Source organism: Homo sapiens, chromosome 2, assembly GCF_000001405.40.
Source record: "Homo sapiens chromosome 2, GRCh38.p14 Primary Assembly".
Taxonomy (NCBI): domain Eukaryota; kingdom Metazoa; phylum Chordata; class Mammalia; order Primates; family Hominidae; genus Homo; species Homo sapiens.
The window spans coordinates 69,657,086-69,676,877 of record NC_000002.12 but is presented as its reverse complement, the minus strand read 5'-3'; the positions used below and the strand labels follow the sequence as shown (position 1 = coordinate 69,676,877).

At 40.2% G+C, this 19,792-nt stretch overlaps 1 protein-coding gene and 1 non-coding gene across 8 annotated transcripts in view; both read right to left on the bottom strand.

Annotated features, from left to right (window-relative positions):
• Nucleotides 1-19,792, bottom strand: part of ANXA4 (annexin A4) — a 183,305-nt gene that overhangs the window by 150,235 nt on the left and 13,278 nt on the right. The gene's annotated exons all lie outside the window — the stretch shown is intronic.
• On the bottom strand, nt 9,417-9,519 carry LOC124906149 (small nucleolar RNA U13). The gene has a single exon (XR_007088738.1). It is a non-coding gene; the product is annotated as a small nucleolar RNA U13 (small nucleolar RNA).

Genomic DNA, 19,792 nt, shown 5'->3' with positions numbered 1-19,792 from the left:
TCTGTCGCCCAGGCTGGAGTACAGTGATGCGATCTTGGCTCACTGCAACCTCCACCTCCCGGGTTCAAGCAATTCTCCTGCCTCAGCCTCCCTAGTAGCTGGGACTACAGGCATGCGCCACCACGCCCAGCTAATTTTTGTATTTTTGGTAGAGACAGGGTTTCACCATGTTGGCCAGGATGGTCTTAATCTCTTGACCTCATGATCCGCCAGCCTTGGCCTCCCAAAGTACTGGGATTATAGGTGTGCGCCACTGTGCCCGGCCAGAGATGGTTTTTAATTTATACTTTATTTTAAAATTGTCTACAAAGGACATATGTACTTTTATAACCAGAAACACTATTTTTAAAAAATTGAAGACAATACATATTTAATGAATTTAAAAGCAAATTCAAATACAATATAACATTTAAAAATTCAAATTCTCAAGAGGTTGAAAACTTGAATCATTTTATACTGTCTAGTAGACATTGCCTAGGTTTTCACAAGTCTCTGTCATTCACTACGCATGAGACTTTGAACTAGTTAACTAATTACCAATTCTGGGCCTCCCAGAATTTCAAAGACTTCATTTCCCATAGGTCTATGAACCACATCTGTTTAGTTTAATTTTTATTTACTTTTAAGGTGAAATTCCTTTATTCACTTGTTTCTGAACCTACTATTCTAAACTCAAGAAGTTTTTAACATTAATATATTTCTTATTCACATTTTTTCACATTTCAAAATGACTGAAGAAGCAAACATTATTTTCTAATGATCTTGATTTAGTTTTTTAAAACTTCTTTTTATTGTGGCAAAATATAGATAACATAAAGTTTACCATTTTAACTATTATTATTATTATTATCATTATTATTTTTTTTTTTTTGAGACAGAGTCTTGCTCTGTCGCCCAGGCTGGAGTGCAGTGGCACAATCTCGGCTCACTGCAAGCTCTGCCTTCCGGGTTCACACCATTCTCCTGCCTCAACCTCCCGAGAATCTGAGACCACGCTTGGCTAATTTTTTGTATTTTTAGTAGAGACAGGGTTTCACCGTGTTAGCCAGGATGGTCTTGATCTCCTGACCTCGTGATCTGCCCGCCTTGGCCTCCCAAAGTGCTGGGATTCATTTTAACCATTTTTAAGCATACAGATCAGTGGCATTAGATACGTTCACGTTGCTGTGAATCATCATCTATCCCCACAACTCTCCTGTTAAACAACAACTCTGCATTCCTCCCTCCCCGCAGCCCCTGGAAACTGTCATTCTGCTTTCTGCCCCTATGACTCACTCTTCCAGGTATCTCACTTTTGCTCAGCTTTAGGCTCTAAACAAGTCTTTTCTCTATCTTAGTTGAGAAGCCTGACAGTGTGAAAGAGGTAACTTTTAAAATTCTGAATGGTTTTAACATTGAGATGACATGTACATACAATAAAAATGCACACAGATCCTTTTAAAATAAAATTTTAATCTATATTTATGTAAATACATATGTGATAGAGTATTGTCAACATGACTATAAGGTCATGAGACTCACATGCCATTTTATTTTGAAGTCATATCATATACGTAAGTGAAATAACAGAATATAAAACTATATGCTGCGATTCTACTATGTAAAGAGAGTATCTTTGTATGGGGCAGGATGACTGAGGAAAATAAAAACAGTTTGGGCCGGGCGCGGTGGCTCACGCCTGTAATCCCAGCACTTTGGGAGGCCAAGGCAGGTGGATCACGAGGACAGGAGATCGAGACCATCCTGGCTAACACAGTGAAACCCCGTCTCTACTACAAATACAGAAAATTAGCCGGGCATGGTGACAGGCACCTGTAGTCTCAGCTACTCAGGAGGCTGAGGCAGGAGAATCGCTTGAACCCGGGAGGTGGAGGTTGCAGTGAGCCGAGATGGTGCCACTGCACTCCAGCCTGGGTGACAGAGCGAGACTCCATCTCAAAAAAACGAAAAAAAAAAAAAAAACAGTTTATGTTAGAGTACAATTTTTGAAATGAGATTTTAAAAAAATTATCAATAGTGTTACTGAGTTGGAGAATCAATTATTTTTTATTGTAAGAGGATGACAGAGAATAGGTATTGAAGTCACAGGTTAATAATTTAGAAGAGAAAGGGCTGATAATGTCTTATATTTCAATATTTCTAGAAAATCAGCCTGTGTGGAAACTTTTCCCAAGCTTACCCAATTTGAATCTTAAAAGTGTTTCTTTTTCCTCCCTAAAAATAGACACAGAAATTGCTGAGTGCTTCTGTAAAAAGACAGAAGCATAAAATGACCATTGTATTTCTATACATTAGGTACATGTTCCTTCACTAGCTTGCCCAGGAACAAAAGCAAATATCAATGGTTTGCTCTTATCAATTCATAATTCTTTATTTCCGTCACAGTGTGTTCCCATTGATTACACACAGGAATAAAAATAGAAAACTCTGAGCTGGTGCCTTTGCCAGTTGCGCAGATGACTTTCTGAACAAGGAAGTTTTATATGGGTGGATGGGCATAGGAACTTGGCTTGAAATGTTAAAAAGGCAGGAAAAAAACAGCAGAATCTATTTTTCATTGTGGGAGAGCCCAGGTTGTCCTGCTTATCTGAAATTAAGCCCAAATCCTAAAATTTCTGAATACCTGCTGTCAGCTTCCTGCAAACGGGCCAGGTTGCCTAAGGAATGTCATGAGAGAGCTGGCAGAGGCAGGGGACAGGACAGGCACCAGCAAACACCACTTCACCATGCAGCTATTTTCATGTCCTCCCAGCCCACTGAAGTGCTGATAATGGCTTGGATCAATTCAACAAACACATTTCGTATACCTCCTTTGCACCAGACAGTGTTCACCGAGGCACGCAGGGTGGCCGCAGGTAAGAAGCACAGTGGGCAGCCAGCTGGGGGAATGTGTGACGGGACCCACTCTCCCTATCCCCTTCACCCCAAAGCCTCGTGTAGGGTAAGGAACATCAAAATGGGACAGATTCAGTCCAGCCTCATATCTCCCCAGGTGCCTTAGTCTGCAGGGAGGCAGAATCCCAGGGGGATTCTCCCAGCCCACAGTCCTGTTTGGCACTGGGCTAGGGCCACTGAGTGAGAGAGGGAGTTGGTGCAGAAGTCAGCTCCCACTGAGGGTGGCTGCAGGTCAGCACTTTTCTCCTTCACTTTGTGTGTGTGTGTGTGTGTGTGTGTGTGTGTGTGTGTGTGTCTTTGAAAAAAATGTTTCTTTTCTTTTTTTTTAATATACTTTAAGTTCTGGGGTACATGTGCAGAACGTGCAGGTTTGTTAGATAGGTATACACATGCCATGGTGGTTTGCTGTGCCCATCAACCCGTCATCTACATTGGGTATTTCTCCTAATGCTATCCATCCCCTAGCCCCCCAATCCCCAACCCCCAACCCCAGCGTGTGATGTTCCCCTCCTTGTGTCCATGTGTTCTCATTGTTCAACTCCCATTTGTGAGTGAGAACATGCAGTGTTTGGTTTTCTGTTCTCATGTTAGTTTGCTGAGAATGATGGTCCAGCTTCATCCATGTCCCTGTAAAGGACATGAACTCATCCTTTTTTATGGCTGCATAGTATTCCATGGTGTATATGTGCCACATTTTGTTTATCCAGTCCATCATTGATGGGCATTTGGGTTGGTTCCAAGTCTTTGCTATTGTGAACAGTGCTGCACTAAACATACCTGTGCATGTGTCTTTATAGTAGAATGATTTATAATCCTTCGGGTATATGGGATTGCTGGGTCAAATGGTATTTTTCGTTCTGGATCCTTGAGGAATTGCCACACTGTCTTCCACAATGGTTGAACTAATTTATGCTCCCACCAACAGTGTAAAAGTGTTCTTATTTCTCCACATCCTCTCCAGCATCTGTTGTTCCCCGACTTTTTAATGATCGCCATTCTAACTGGTGTGAGATGGTATCTCATTGTGGTTTTGATTTGCATTTCTCTAATACCAGTGACGATGAGCTTTTTTTTTTATATGTTATGTATACTAATTGACTATATAGAGAAAAAAAATATTGACTTTCCATAAAGCCACTACCAGCGTCATAAAATATTAGTGTGTTCCCTTAATTGTTTCAGGTCTTTAAAAAAACAAAGTGATTAACACTGTTGAAACTGTTTATGAACCTCTCCCCAAACCCATTTACTTCCCTCTCTCCCCATGCATAGTCATCATTCTGAATATCTTCTTTGGCATTTACTAGCATGTTTTTATGCTATTTCTACACATGTAGGTATCCACAAAAATATTGTTTGGTTTTGCTGTTTTTAAAAGGTATAATTTATATAAACAAAATTATACTATAATGTATTTATTAGATACATAATATTGTTTAAAATACATAATAGGCTGGCTGTGGTGGCTCACACCTGTAATTCCAGCACTTTGGGGGGCCAGGGCAGGCAGATCACTTGAGGTCAGGAGTTCAAGACCAGCCTGGCCAACATGGCAAAACCCCATCTCTACTAAAAATACAAAAATTAGTTGGGTGTGGTGGCACATAACTGTAAACCCAGCTACCCAGGAGGCTGAGGCAGGAGAACCACTTTAACCCAAGAGGCAGAGGTTGCACTGAGCCGAGATCACACCACTGTACTTCAGCCTGGGTGACAGAGCGACATTCTGTCTCAATAAATAAATAAATAAATAAATAAAATACATAATAAAGTACATAATTTTTTTCACTCAGTAGTGTTTTATATTCAACCATGTTGATCATGTAACTGTGGTTCATGAATATCCCACAATTTATCTCCAATCTATAAATAATGGGTTGCTTCCAATTATATTTGTTTGTTTGCTATAAAAACAATGTTTTAAGATCATTTCCCACATGTCTCCTGCTACCCATCCTCAAGAGTTTTTCTAGGATGTAAACATGTGAGAATTGAATCACTGAGTCATAAGGTTTTTGCACTTTTAATAAAATATCAAACTGTTTTGCAAATTAGTTGTACAGTTTATACTCTCAGTTGCAGTGAATGAGAGTTCTAGTTGCTCCACATCTTATCAACACTTGTTGGTTTCTGACTCTTTAGCAGTGATAGCATGCCTTACCAAGGATTGGTGTTGCATTTCCCTGACTATGAATGAGGTCAAGCATCTTTTTTGTGTACTTATTCACAATTCATATGTGTGTATATATATATATTTTTTGAGATGGAGTCTCATTATATCGCCCAGGCAGGAGTGCAGTGGCGCAATCTCAGCTTACTGCAACCTTTGCCTCCCAAGTTCAAGCAATTCTCCTGTTTCAGCCCCCCGAGTAGCTGAAATTACAGGCATGCGCCACTACACCTGGTTAATTTGTATTTTTGTATTTTTAGTAGAGACAGGGTTTCACCATGTTGGCCAGGGTAGTCTAGAACTCCTGACCTCAGATGATCCACCAGCCTTGGCCTCCCAAAGTGCTGGGATTATGGGCATGAGCCACCATGCCCAATTCATATTTTTTATTCTGTAAAATGTCTTGACAGGTCTTTTTTGCATTGCTTTTTCTCTTGTGTTGTTTCTTATTGATTCACAGGAGTTCTTTACATATTCAGGATGCTAAACTTTACTGTTACTAGAGTTGCAGATATTTTGATTGAGTTTTAGCCTGTCATTTTATGCATTTTATGGTATTTTTATAAACAAAAGTTATTGATTTTAATGTAGTCTCAAATTTATCATTTTTTAAAGGTTTGTGCTTTTTGTGTTTTATTTAAGGAATCCTTCTCCACCCCAAAGTCATAAAGCTATTCTACTCATTCTATTATCTAAATATTTAAAACATTTGCTCTTCACATTTTAGGTCCATTCTGAATTGATTATTGATGGTATTCCCTTCTTTTTTTTTTTTTTTTTTTTTTTTGAGATGGAGTCTGACTCTGTCACCCATGCTGGAGTGCAGTGGTGTGATCTTGGCTCACTGCAGCCTTGACCTCCTGGGCTCAAGTGATCCTCCCACCTCAGCTTCCTGAGTAGCTGAGCCTACTGGTGTGCACCATCATGCCTGGCTAAATTTTGTATTTTTGGCAGAGACAGGGGTCTCACTATGTTGCTCAGGCTGGTCTCAAACTCCTTAGCTCAAGCAGTCTGCCCTGTTTCAACCTCCTAGAGTGCTGGGATTACAGGTGTGAGCCATCACGCCTGACCCTGAATTGATTTTTATGATTGATGTAAGGTAAGGGTCCACTTTCATTTTTTCCGTAGATAACCAAATTTTCCAGTACTATTTACTCTTCCCCATGTATATGTCATCTATCAGGTCTCCATTTATCCATAGGTCAATTTCTGGTCTCTCTATTCTGCCAGTTGTCTATCCCTGTGCCCATGCCACATTGTCTTAGTTACTATAGCTTTATAATTAGGGTGACCTTGCTTCAAGTTTACTGTGGACCAGTCGCCATCTCTATTTTAGCATTTGTCTCATTTGTCTTTTTTTTTTTTTTTTTTTTTGAGATTGAGTCTCGCTCTGTCGCCAGGCTGGAGTGCAGTGGTGCGATCTCAGCTCACTGCAACCTCCACCTCCCAGGTTCAAGCAATTCTCCTGCCTCAGCCTCCCAAGTAGCTGGGACTAGAAGTGTGTGCCACTACACCCAGCTAATTTATGTGTTTTTAGTAGAGATGGGGTTTCACCATGTTGGCCAGGATGGTCTTGATCTCTTGACTTCTAGTGATCCACCTGCTTCGACTTCCCAAAATGCTGGGATTACAGGCATGAGCCACCGTGCCTGGCCATTTGTCATTTTTTAGCCACATATTCATAGTTGCTTTATAATATGCTGGAATGATTTTGGTAAACTTTCACTTTGTGCTTCAGTTCCTACCCTGTCTCTAGTGTATAAGACACGTGTGCAGCAAACACAGGTTTGTGACACAAGGTTAAAAGTGGAATATCACTAGTAATGATCAGTACTTTTCCCCCCAACTCTTCCCAGAGGCAAGATAACTATTAAGTCTCTTTCAAGGGCAGTCTGCTGGGCACTTATCAGTAAAATAAGGCAAGGAAGGTGAAGTCTTTACAATCTTGAGTAGCGGTGGGAGAAGTATTAGATGTGCCTGCTCCTGATAACTATTTGGTATACAAGACAGTAGGATGAGGCCAGCCAGGCAACAGAGTCAGTGGGAAACATGAGAAATTCTAGATTAGATTATATAAACTATGTGCAGGAAATAAAGGCTGAACAGTCCTGCAATAAAGAATATAGAAGGTACATGGACACTCTTGTTACAGTGGTTTTGGTATTTATTGTATGGTAAAATCTATGATTCTTTTTTTTTTTTGAGATGGAGTCTCACTCTGTCGCCCAGGCTAGAGTGCAGTGGCGCGATCTCGGCTCATTGCAACCTCTGCCGCCTGGGTTCAAGCAATTCTCCTGCCTCAGCTTCCCAAGTAGCTGGGATTACAGGTGTGTACTACCATGCCTGGCTAATTTTTTGTATTTTTAGTAGAGACAAGGATTCATCATGTTGGCCAGGCTGGTCTCAAACTCCTGACCTCCAGTGATCTGCCCACCTCTGCCTCCCAAAGTGTTGGGATTGCAGGCGTGAGCCACTGCGCCCGGCCTTATGATTCTTTATAAACAAAAATTTGTTTGGTTACACCCTTATACTGGTAATAAATTGTTTGACAAAAATGGGCTCAAAGAAGGCCAGGCGCAGTGGCTTAGGCCTGTAATCCCAGTGCTTTGGGAGGCCGAGGCGGGTGGATCACCTGAGGTCAGGAGTTTGAGACCAGCCTGGCCAAAATGGTGAAACCCCATCTCTACTAAAAATACAAAAATTAGCCAGATTAGCCGGCGTGGTGGCACACACCTGTAATCCCAGCTACTCGGGAGGCTGAGGCAGGAGAATCACTTGAACCTGAGAGGCGGAGGTTGCAGTGAGGCGAGATCGCACCACTGCACTGCAGCCTGGGTGATAGAGCGAGACTCTGCCTTCAAGAAAAAAAAAAAAAGGCTCAAAAGGAATGGAAATAAAGTATATGTTTAAATAAATAATTTTAATTTCTCAAGAAAATACATGATGACTATATAACATTTGTGTGTCAGCGTTTACCATCTTGTGGGACATGTGGTAATATTACTGACCACGTGAATACCAGAAGGCAAGCCTGCTGCAGAAGCCAAAGTGTCTCATTCCACAGACAGGAGTTATACACAGCGTAATATGGCTGTGCCTGAAGACAATGAATTTCCACATGCAGAAGGTGAGTTTTACATATCACTCAGTGAAACCTAACTTCATCAAGATGAAATGACGGTTCTAAATTAATATTTTTTATTATACACATACATGTATGTGTCTATACATATATAATGAGAAAGATATATATGTGTATATTTACCTATACACAAATGTAGAGAGAAATACCTGGAAGACTGTATCTCAAGAGTGATTGTCTCTAGGAAAGGGACAATTCATACTTTTTTTAAAAAAATTTTTTGTAGAGACAGGGTCTCACTATGTTGCCCCAGGCTGGTCTTAACTCCTGGGCTCAAGCAATCCTCCCACCTCAGCCTCCTAAAGTGCTGGGATTACAGGCATGAGCCACCATGCCGTATATCATACTTCTTTGTCTTCATTTAGCTTGTCTATGTTCTCTGACTCATTCCTTATACTTCTGTAATAACAAATAAAAATAGAAAAAAATTTCACTTGGAGGGGAAATGACTGAATTCATAATCTTTAGTAAACAACCTAGAGTTTATAAAACAGATAAGCATGGACTTATAAACCGGTCCATGCATAGTATTAATGGCCCCAATTAAAGGCTACCCGGCTCCACACTCTTTGCCTTGTAATTTTATTGTCCCTTCCTCCTGTTACTGAACATTCCTCTGGTAACATACTTAGGCCAATGGAATGTTATCAGACATGAGACGAGCAGGGACTTGAAAAGCACCTGTGCATTTCTGCATGCTCACTAGTGCATCTCTGCCTCAGCATGACGGCTTGTCCCGGCTAGCCCAATGGAGGAATGCAAAGACACATGGAGAAAAGCAGAGACCATCCTAGTCCCACAAATTCCAGTCAACCCCCAATACACAAGAGAGCCCAGCCAAGATCAACTGCTGATTCCGGGTGCAGCAGCAAGTCCCATCTAAGCAGGAAGAATGGCTCAGCTGCCATGGCCTTGGGAGCAATAAAAATGAGTCTTCAGGTGCTTTGTTACCCACATTGTTGGGTCAATAGATAACTGATAATAAAGAATAGATCACATGCTATGTGGAGAGGAGAAGAAAAGGACAAAAGAGACAAAAAAGAGAGAGAAGAACTGACATAAATGTTGCCACAGCATCCCCATACATCACATCACAGGATATCCTGTCCAGTTCTCTACAGATAGGCCAGAGTATTTTGTACATCGGACTGAATCAGTCTATAACACTTTTATGGGACTTTTATTTTTCTTTCCTTTTTTTTTTTTTCAGGTCAGATGGGTAATGTGCCGAGGTCATAACAAGGTTTGAGTGTGGCACATCTCACACATGTGCGTGAATACCAATCATTATGCCCATGAACTACAAAAGGATCTCTTTCTTTTTTTCAATAGCTTTGTCGAGGTATTCACGTGCCAGTTTACCTGTGTGAAGTGTACAATTCAATAGTTTTTTGTATATTCACAGAGTTGTGCAACCATCACCACAATCAATTTTGGAACACTTGTATCACTTCAAAAAGAAATGCTGTACCCATTAGCAGTCTCTTTCATTTCCTTCCCACCCTCTCTGCCTCCTCAGCTTTAGGCAACCACTAATCTAATTTCTATCTCCATAGAGTTGCTTATTTTACTATTTTATTTTATTTTATTTTATTTCATTTTATTTTATTATTTTATTTTATTTTGAGATGGAGTCTCACTCTATCGGCCAGGCTGAAGTGCAGTGATGTGATCTCAGCTCACTGCAACTTCCACCTCCCAGGTTCAAGTGATTCTTGTGCCTCAGCCTCCTGAGTAGCTGGAACTACAGGTGTGCACCAACACGCTTAGCTAATTTTTGTATTTTTAGTAGAGGCAGGATTTTGCCATGTTGGCCAGGCTGGTCTCAAACTCCTGGCCTCAAGTGATCCTCCCACCTTGGCCTCCCAAAGTGCTGGGATTACAGGCATGAGCCACCACACCCAGCCTGATATTTTATATTATATGTGGTCCTTTGTTACTGGCTTCTTTCACTTAGCATAATGCTTTAAAGATTCATCCATGTTGTAGTATGTATCAGTACTTAATTCTTTTTCATTGTAGAATAATATTGCATTGTATGAATATTCCATATTTTGTTTATCCATTCATCAGTTACTGGACATTTTGGTTGTTTCCACTTTTCGGCTACTATGAATAATGCTGCTATGAACATTTGTGTATAAGTTTTTTTGCATACATATGCTTTTATTCCTCTTGGGTATATCACTATGACTGGAATTCCTGTGTCATATGGTGATACTGTTTAACCTTTTGAGAAACTAGCAAACTGTTTTCCACCAGTTGCACATTTTACATTTCTACCAGCATTGTATGAAAGTTCCAGCTTCTCCACATCTTTGTCAACACTTGTTATTGTCTGTTTTTTCAATTACAGCTACCCCAATGGCTGTAAAGTAGTATCTCATTGTGGTTTTGGTATGCATTTCCCTAATAATCAATGATGTTTAGCACCTTTTCATGTGTTTATTGGCCATGTGTGTACCTTCTTTGCAGAAATACCTATTCAGCCCACACTGGAGTGCAATGGTGTGATCTTGGCTCACTGCAACCTCTGCCTCCCAGGTTCAAGTGATTCTCCTGCCTCAGCCTCCCAAGTAGCTGAGACCACAGGTGCCCACCACCACGCCCCGCTATTTTTTTGTATTTTTTGTAGAGACAGGGTTTCACCATATTGCCCAGGCTGGTCTTGAACTCCTGACATTGTGATCCGCCTGCCTCAGGCTCCCAAAGTGCTGGGATTATAGGTGTGAGCCACCATGCCTGGCCCTTGTGCATTTTAAATTAGGTTATTTGTTGCTTTTTATTGCTGAGTTGTAAGAGTTCTTTATCTATTCTGAGTACAAGTACCTTATCAGACATATGCTTGCACATGCTTTCCCCCATTCTGTGGGTTGTCTTTTTGTTTTCTTAAGTGTGTTTTGAAGAGTTCTTAATTTTGATGAAATCTAATTAATCTGTTTTTTTATCACTTGTGTCTACAAGCTTTGGATTCAGCTACAGTATCAGAAAGGAGACTTGCCACTAAGGATAAAAATTCCCCTCTTTACATGCCTTGGGCTATTTAAATGAGTATAGGGATAGGAGATTCAGAAGTCTAGGCTAAAACTCACTTTTATCTGGAAATGTTCTGCTTGTCTATTGCTCCAAAAAAATAACACCCACAATTCTGGGGTGGAGTCTCACTCTGTCGCCCAGGCAGATGATTGAAACAATCATTTATTGTTGTTATCTCTCATGATTCTGGTGAGTGACTGGACTCAGCTAGGTGGTACCACTCAGAGTGTGTTGCCTGGCTGCCATGAGACAGGGATAATGCTGGAGTCATCTTGAGGGCCTCAGAATCATTCACATGTCTGGCACTGGGACAGGGAAAACTCAAACCGCTGCGGGCTTCAACAGCCAGGGTTCCTCGGACTCTATTTTAACGTGGTCTGTTCACGTGATCTCTGCCGCACGGTGGTTTCATGTACTTATATGCTCCAAAGGCACATATTACGAGCAAGAGAGCTAGATGGAAGCTGTACTACCTTTCAAGATGCGGTTTTGAAAGTCACATAGCAGTACTTTATTTATTTTTGTTTATTTTGAAACAGAGTTTTGCTCTGTCACCCAGGCTAGAATGCAGTGGCGCGATCTCAGCTCATTGCAACCTCCACCTCCCAGGGTCAAGTGATTCTCCTGCCTCAGCCTCCTGAGTAGCTGGGATTACAGGTGCATACCATGACACTCAGCTAATTTTTGTATTTTTAGTAGACACGGGGTTTTGCCGTGTTGGCCGGGCTGGTCTCGAACTCCTGACCTCAAGTGATCTGCCTGCCTCAGCCTCCCAAAGTGCTGGGATTACAGGCATAAGCCACTGCGCCTGGCCAACATAGCATTACTTTAGAGGTGCAGTCACAGAAACCCGTCCGAGAAGCCTACCTGGGTTCAAGGGGAAAGGACATAGATGCCATCTCTTGATTGAGGTAGGGGGTAGGGTTTTTGGAAGAGCACATGGGATTGAACATACTGTTGCTGCCAATTTTGAAAAATACAGTCTGCTGCAGGAAGTTTAATGTGACTTGTTGAATTAATAACAATTGTATACCGTCAATAGTAATACTTACTGACACCTATTCTATGCAAGAATGTAACTGATATAGCTGTTGTGAAGATTAACTGATTGATACCATTGATGTGAATCACCTAGAATAATGACTGGCACATAGTAAGTGCACATAGTAAGTAAATGTTAGGTGTACTCTAGAAAGTACTTTAGAAAGCTGTAACTATAGTGTTAGCTTATTACCCTTCCCCACCATTCAATTTTTAGTTGTTCATTTTGCTATTCATTTAAAAAAACACACACACAAAAGCTTTCTTGATTTATGTCCTTATTTTGGTGGAAAAGCTTTCACCTTCTGAAAGCTTCTTGAAAAAAGGTACATGGAAGATAAATATTTTGAAATTGTACGTGTCTGAAATACATTTACCCCCACGCTTTACTACTACATTTGGATGGGTATGAGAATCTATGTTGGAAGTTATTTTCCCTCAGATTTTAAAGACATTATTCCATTGTCTTTCAGTTTCATGTGTTGCTACTGAGAAATCAGATGCCATTCTCATTCTGGATTCTTTAAGTGAAACTTCATTTCCTCCTAGGCACTTGTAAGATCTTCTCTATGTCCTCAGTCTTCCATATCACAACGTGCCCTGGTGTGGTTCTGGTTTTGTCCATTGCACTGTACTCAGCACTTTCAATGTGGAAATTCATGCTCTTTAGTTCTCAAAATATATAATTGAATTATTTAATTCATTTCTTCCCCTGTTTCCCAGATGTCCAGGGCTGGCTTTCTAATCTTAACCTTTCTTATTTCTTTCCCTTCTCTTTGCCTTTTGCCTATGCATTCTAGGATAATTTCTAACTTTATCTTCTTAACATTCTACTGAGTTTTTCATTTTTGCTATCAGATTTTTAATTTAAAAGAACTCCATTTGGTTCTCTGAGTGTTCATTTTTTAGAGTATTCTTTTTTTATTGACACAGGGTCTCTCTATGTCACCCAGGCTAGAGTGCAGTGGCTGTTCACAGGCATGATAATAGCACACTACAACCTCAAACTGGGCTCAAGCAATCCTCCTACCTTAGCCTGTGGAGAAGCAGGGACTACAGTCTTGTGTCACCATGCCCAGCATTTCTGATCTTTCTCAGAGAAGCTCAATAGTAGATTTCTCAAAGTTTTCTTCTCCCCATAGTCTTTTTCTTCCTCATTTCATTTTCTCTGTTAGCGTGTTTTGGATTCTATCTTTATTGTCAGATCCTTCCCTTATATTGTGATGACCTTTGGCTCTGCTCTTATGTAAGTGTGCTATATTTAGCAAAAAAAAAAAAAAAAAAAAAAAAAAAAAAAAAAGGCCGGGTGCATTGGCTCACGCCTGTAATCCCAGCACTTTGGGAGGCCGAGACGGGAGGATCATGAGGTCAGGAGATCGAGACCATCCTGGCTAACATGGTGAAACCCCGTCTCTACTAAAAATACAAAAAAAAATAGCTGGGCGTGGTGGTGGGCGCCTGTAGTCCCAGCTACTCAAGAGGCTGAGGCAGGAGAATGGCGTGAACCTGGGAGGCGGAGCTTGCAGTGAGTGGAGATCATGCGACTGCACTCCAGCCTGGGTGACAGAGGGAGACTCCATCTCAAAAAAAAAAAAAAAAAAGAAAAAGAAAAACCAGGACATCTGGTTAAATTTGAATTTTAGATAAACAACAATTTTTAGTACATGTATGTCTCATGCAGTATTTAGGACATACTTATAGTACATGAGTATTTTATATTTTAGTAAAAAATTATTTACTGTTTAACTGAAAATCAAATTTAACTAAGTGTCCTGTATTTTATCTCGCAACCCTAAGAGTGAGGTCTACAAAGCTGCCTGGAAGCCCTGAGTGCGTGTGTAAGTGGGTGGGGCTTGACAAGGGTGAGTTTACCAACAGGTTGCTCCAGTTTCATTGCATAAATGATTACATCTCTTCAGGTCTTTCCTCTTAGAGTCCCCAAAGAAAAGTATTCCAAATTCTCCATCCTGGTGAGTTTGAACCTGGCTGCCAGAGTTCTAGGAGCCAAGCAGGAAGAATACCAAGCAGCTCAGTAGACATCATCTTAAGTTTCATATGGCTCTTCAATTTCAGTACAGTAGCCCTAGTCTTGTGTTAATCTCATGGCCTTGATGAAAGATGGCTGCAAATTCTTTGCACCCTCCCACCCCTCCCCACTCAGGGATGGAGCCTAATCCCCTTCCCTTAAATCTAGACTGGCCCTAGTGACTGGCATGATTTATAGAATGCAACAGAAATAATGTTCAACAGCTTCCAAGCGTGCATAGGAAGGCTTGTAACTTCTGCCTGGATGTCTTGGAGTATCCTTTCTGGAAACCCTGAGCCTCCATGAAGGAAATCTGACCCTGAGCCTGCCATGTGAAGGGGCATGTGTAGATGCTCTAGTTTACAGTGCCAGTTGAGACCAACCTTCCAGCTCTTCTTATCATGGTACCCAATATGTGAGTTCTCCAGACTGGTCCATCTGCCAGCTGGATAACACCAAGTGACCTTTCTTGATGCCAGGTGGGACAGAAGAATTGCTCAGTTCAAATTCAGACCCACAAAATCATGAGATATAATGGTCACTGTTTTATGTAACCTTCAAGTGTTGGGGTGGTTTTTTAGGCAACCTTAGATAGCCAGAACACCTCGACTACATCTGGTGTCCCCATTCCAGAGAGCCACTGCATGATTCTTCAGAGAACATGCTTCCAATCATCCACCCTCGTGGAAGAGGGACAGTGGCCGCTGTGCAGTATTGGGGATGCTGACTGCTTCTTGTACAGACTTACAAGAAATCGTCCTGGGTTTAGTCTCACCTACACACCCACTTTCAGACGTATCCAGTGCAAAAAAAACTCTCTTACCCCGAGAAATCCTACTGTCATGTTGCTTCTTGGTTTTCCCTACTACTGGTTTGAAAGTCAGCTTTCTCAGGTCTGCTAAGTCAGTTATCACCTGTCCACGTGCTTTCCAGGTTCCAAACTCTTATTATTTTTTCTCTCTTCTTCCCTTGTCCTTGTGAGATTTAAAAAAATTTTGAGATCGGGACTTACTCTGTCACCCAGGCTGGAGTGCAGTGACAAGATCATAGCTCACTGTAATCACAGCTCACTGCATTTTTTTTTTCGGTAGATCTGGGGTCTCATCATCTTGCACAGGGTGGTCTTGAACTCCTGGGCTCAAGCAATCCTCCTTCCTCAGCCTCCCAAAGTGCTGAGATTACAGGAATGAGCCACTGTGCCTAATTACTCTTTTTCATTTAATAATAGTTTCTTGCATTGCATTTCTTCCTGAGTTTGATTTTCTTCTTTCTGAAATACAAATTTTAGTAGCTCCTTTAGGAAAGGTCTATGAGTTTAAATTTTCTCAGCTTTTTTTTTTTTTTTTGTCTGAAGCTTCCTTTATTTCATCTTATGCTTCAAGTATGCTTAACTGGGTACAGAATTCTAGATTTATTTTTATATTTTCCTACCCACTTTGAAGATATTAATCCTTTGTTTCTGGCCTGTATTGTTGTCATGAGAAGTCTTCTGTCTAATTGCTGTTTTCTTGTGAGTAATCTATATTTCCTCTCTTTGAGTTCTTAAGTCCGTCTGTATGTCTTTGTCAGTAAATGTAGCTATATGTGGATTTGCTTTTCTCTATGCTTTTAGGACTTATGCTTCTGGAATCTGAAGAGTTACATCTTTTTTCAGTCCTGGACATTCTCAGCCATTGTCATCTTCCCCCTCCCTTCTATTATCTCTCTTATCTCTCCCTTCTATTTTGAGTATGTTCCTATCTTCCATATCTCAACTTTTCACTCATATTCTCTCTCTCTCTCTCTCTCTCTCCCTCCCTCCCTTCTGGCAAATAGCCTCAGCTTTAACTTCTAGTTAATTGGTTCTTTCTCTTTAATTGTGTCTTATCTGCTATTTAACCATTTGCTTTAAATTTTGGTGATTATGTCTTTCATTTCTAAAATTTCCCTTTGGTAGTTCTCTAGATTTATCTGTTGTTTCTTCATACACTCTTTTTCCTAATCATAGGGTTTTGATTTCTTATTTCATTTGTAATTATTTTAAACAATACTTATTTTACATCACCTTTTAGAATGTTAGTCTAATGTTTCAGGATTTTAAGGCTCCAGTGCTCTTGTTTTGTTCTCTTAACTGAGCTTATGGGTGATTTTTTTCTTGTGTTTTACGCTGTTTTTCTATGAACTCTGTTTTACATTGATTTGTTTTAGTCTATGAGACCTTCATGTGACCTTGGTTGAAGGAGTATCCAGAGTGATTTTACGTTTGCTCCTGTAAGTGCCTCTAGGGTTTACCATTGGCCCAGAATCAATTTTTATGTTAACTTCTTAATTTAAGTGTTTCTTGACCACAAAGAGAGTATTAAGCAAAGTCAAAAGCAATGTGAAAAGCAGGTCTGGGTTTTTAATGACTCTGCAGAAATTCTTTTTTCTAACTCTTTCTTCTGCATATATAAAGACAGACAAGAAATACATACATACATACATATGTGCATACATGCATACACACAGATAGACAAGAAAATATGTATTTTCTTGTCACCTCTCTGGGCTGGTGAGTAGATTTTTTGCTATGTGTCCTTTCACTGAGGGTGCCACTCTTTGAGAGTTCCAGCTTCACACAGGATTATCTGTCTGTACCAGGCCCAGGACTAAGGTGCTTCATTCCTAGGTATGCCTTAAAATCCAAGTTCTTGACTTATGACATTTTCTCCCCAGCCCCCACTGCCACCAGCAATTGCAATGGTAGCTGGAATCTTTTCCCTCTGATTTCAAGACCTGCTTCCTTTCTGTCACCTGCAAACTCACATTTCTTTCTTGCAAGCACGAAAGCTCTACATTTAAAGTCTCATCATGTTGCCCAGACTGGTCTCAAGCTCCTGGCCTCAAGCAATCCTCCTGCTACAGCCTCCCAAAGAGCTAGGATTACAGGCGTGAGCCACCATGCCCTGCTCTATTGCTGATTTTTATACATGATTCTTACTTAACTATTCTGAAAGCCAAATACTTGTATTTGACACATGCCATACATAGTAACAAAAGCATCACTTGAGCCCAGAAGTTCAAGGTTGCAGTGAGCTATTGATCACACCACTGCACTCCAGCCTAGGCAACAGAATGAGACCCTTCTCTCTAAAAGAAGAGATAATAAACAAATAAATAAGAGAAGCATACAATGCCTTTAATCATACTGCTCACTTAATGACTTACTTGTAACTTTAGTGACACATTTTAGTGCATTGTTTCAAAATAAGTAATAAATAGCATATTCTTTTCATCTTGGTTTATAACATAAAGTGGAGAAGCCAATTACACTAGAGCAGTCTAACTTTCGTCTTGTCTTTACTAATGTTTCTAGATGCTATCTCTAATTTATTTCCCAATGGTTTATAATCTTTCTTGAAACATATATGAACACATATTTGTATTGAAAATGAGCTTAGACAAAAAAGAAGTTAGACTTTTTTTCACAAAGTAACTCTGATTTACCTCGTTTGTTTCACAAATAGGACTGACTTTACTAACTAGATACATTTTCATAAATTAAATGAGCAAAACCTGCATCTCCTCAGGTTTGACAAAAATAAATTTAAAGTGGCCAGGCATAGTGGCTCACGCCTGTAATCCCAGCACTTTGGGAGCCTACGGCGGGTGGATCATGAGGTCAGGAGTTCGAGACCAGCCTGACCAACATGGTGAAACCCCGTCTCTACTAAAATTACAAAAAAAATTAGCCAGGTGTGGTGCTGCGCACCTGTAATCCCAGCTACTCAGGAGGCTGAGGCAGGAGAATCGCTTGAACCAGGGAGGCGGAGGTTGCAGTGAGCTGAGATGGTGCCACTGCACTCCAGCCTGGGCGACAGAGCGAGACTCAGTCTCAAAAAAAAGTAAACAAATGAATAAATAAATAAAAATAAATTTAAATCACATTATAAGAACAGCATTTTACCAAGAAATATTGTATTGAAAAGGTGCTTTGAAATGAACATTATTTCTATTTTCTGAACTCTCCCTGAGAATACTGGGTTAAACAAGGTACCTCTAAGAGAAATAATAGCAGTCATTTGTTAAATCTTCGTGAAACTGTTTTGATATCTTTCCTAGAAGGTGAGGGTATGAACAGCCTCAACAGCTGGGGAATAAATGTCTGCAAGGAGCGGCTTCTATTGTTTGCTTTTTTTTTTTTTTTTTTGAGACAGAACCTTGCTCTGTCACCGAGGCTGGAGTGCAGTGGGGTGATCTCAGCTCACTGCAGCCTCTGCCTCCCAGGCTCAAGCAATTCTCCTGCCTCAGCCTCCCAAGTAGCTGGGATTACGGGAGTGTGCCACCACGCCAAGCTAATTTTTTTGTATTTTTAATAGAGACAGGGTTTTGCCATGTTGGCCAGGCTGGTCTCTAACTCCCAGGCTCAAGTGATCCTCCTGCCTCAGCCTTTCAAAGTGCTGGGATTACAGGTGTGTGCCACTGTGCCCCGCCTATTTTTTTTTGCTTTTGACAGAATTTAAAGAGGATCGTTCAAGTTAAAGTTGATACATTATTAAGAATAATTTTTGAGAATAAAACCTTTGAGTATTTTTGCGTATATTTCAGGAGTGCAAAGAAAAAAGTAATAGTATTAAAGGGAACTTCTTCAAGCCTCATCCACTTATATATTGAACAAGTTTCCCCAATGCTTATATCTATAAAAAATTTTTAAATAGGCATGGAATTGATAGAATTAGTGAACAAAAATTTTTAAATCCCCATTCATCTTGTGAATAAATGCATTTCCAATATATTTTTATTTTTTGTGTTTATCAAAATTTGTATTATACATATACTGTTCTAATCAATTGTATAAAGTTAATAAGTAGCATAAATCAATCCAGAAGAAAAATTTTAACACTTAGAGACTTATACTCACAGGAAGTTAAAAGCTTAAATTTACATGTATATCCATATGTTGTTGTAGAGAATTATAATATAAAATCAATAAATGAATTCCCAGCATAAAATTATTACTTTAGAATAAAATATTTGGGGAGGCAAAAATATATGTTCTAGAAGAAAAAGCAATAATGTGAAATTTCTAACTGTTGGAGAATAAGTAGGATGATGGTGAATATAGTCCATCGAATATGTGGTATTTAGTCTCCATTGCGTACATTAAAAATAGTAATGTAAGTTTTATTTTATAATATCAGTATTTATAAGATGCCAGAAATATCCTTTGTAATTATTTAGAGTTGTGATGAAAATTTCTATATGTCAACTTTAAAATATATGAGCGAGTACAAGGTGTTAAAAATTAATGTAGTGTGCTGGGCACGGTGGCTCATGCTTGTAAATCCTAGCACTTTGGGAGGTCGAGGTGGGTGGATCACAAGGTCAGGAGTTTGAGACCAGCCTGGCCAAAACAGTGAAACTCCGTTTCTACTAAAAATACAAAAATTAGCTGGGCATGGTGGCGGGTGCCTGTAATGCCAGCTACTCGGGAGGCTGAGCCAGGAGAATTGCTTGAACCCAG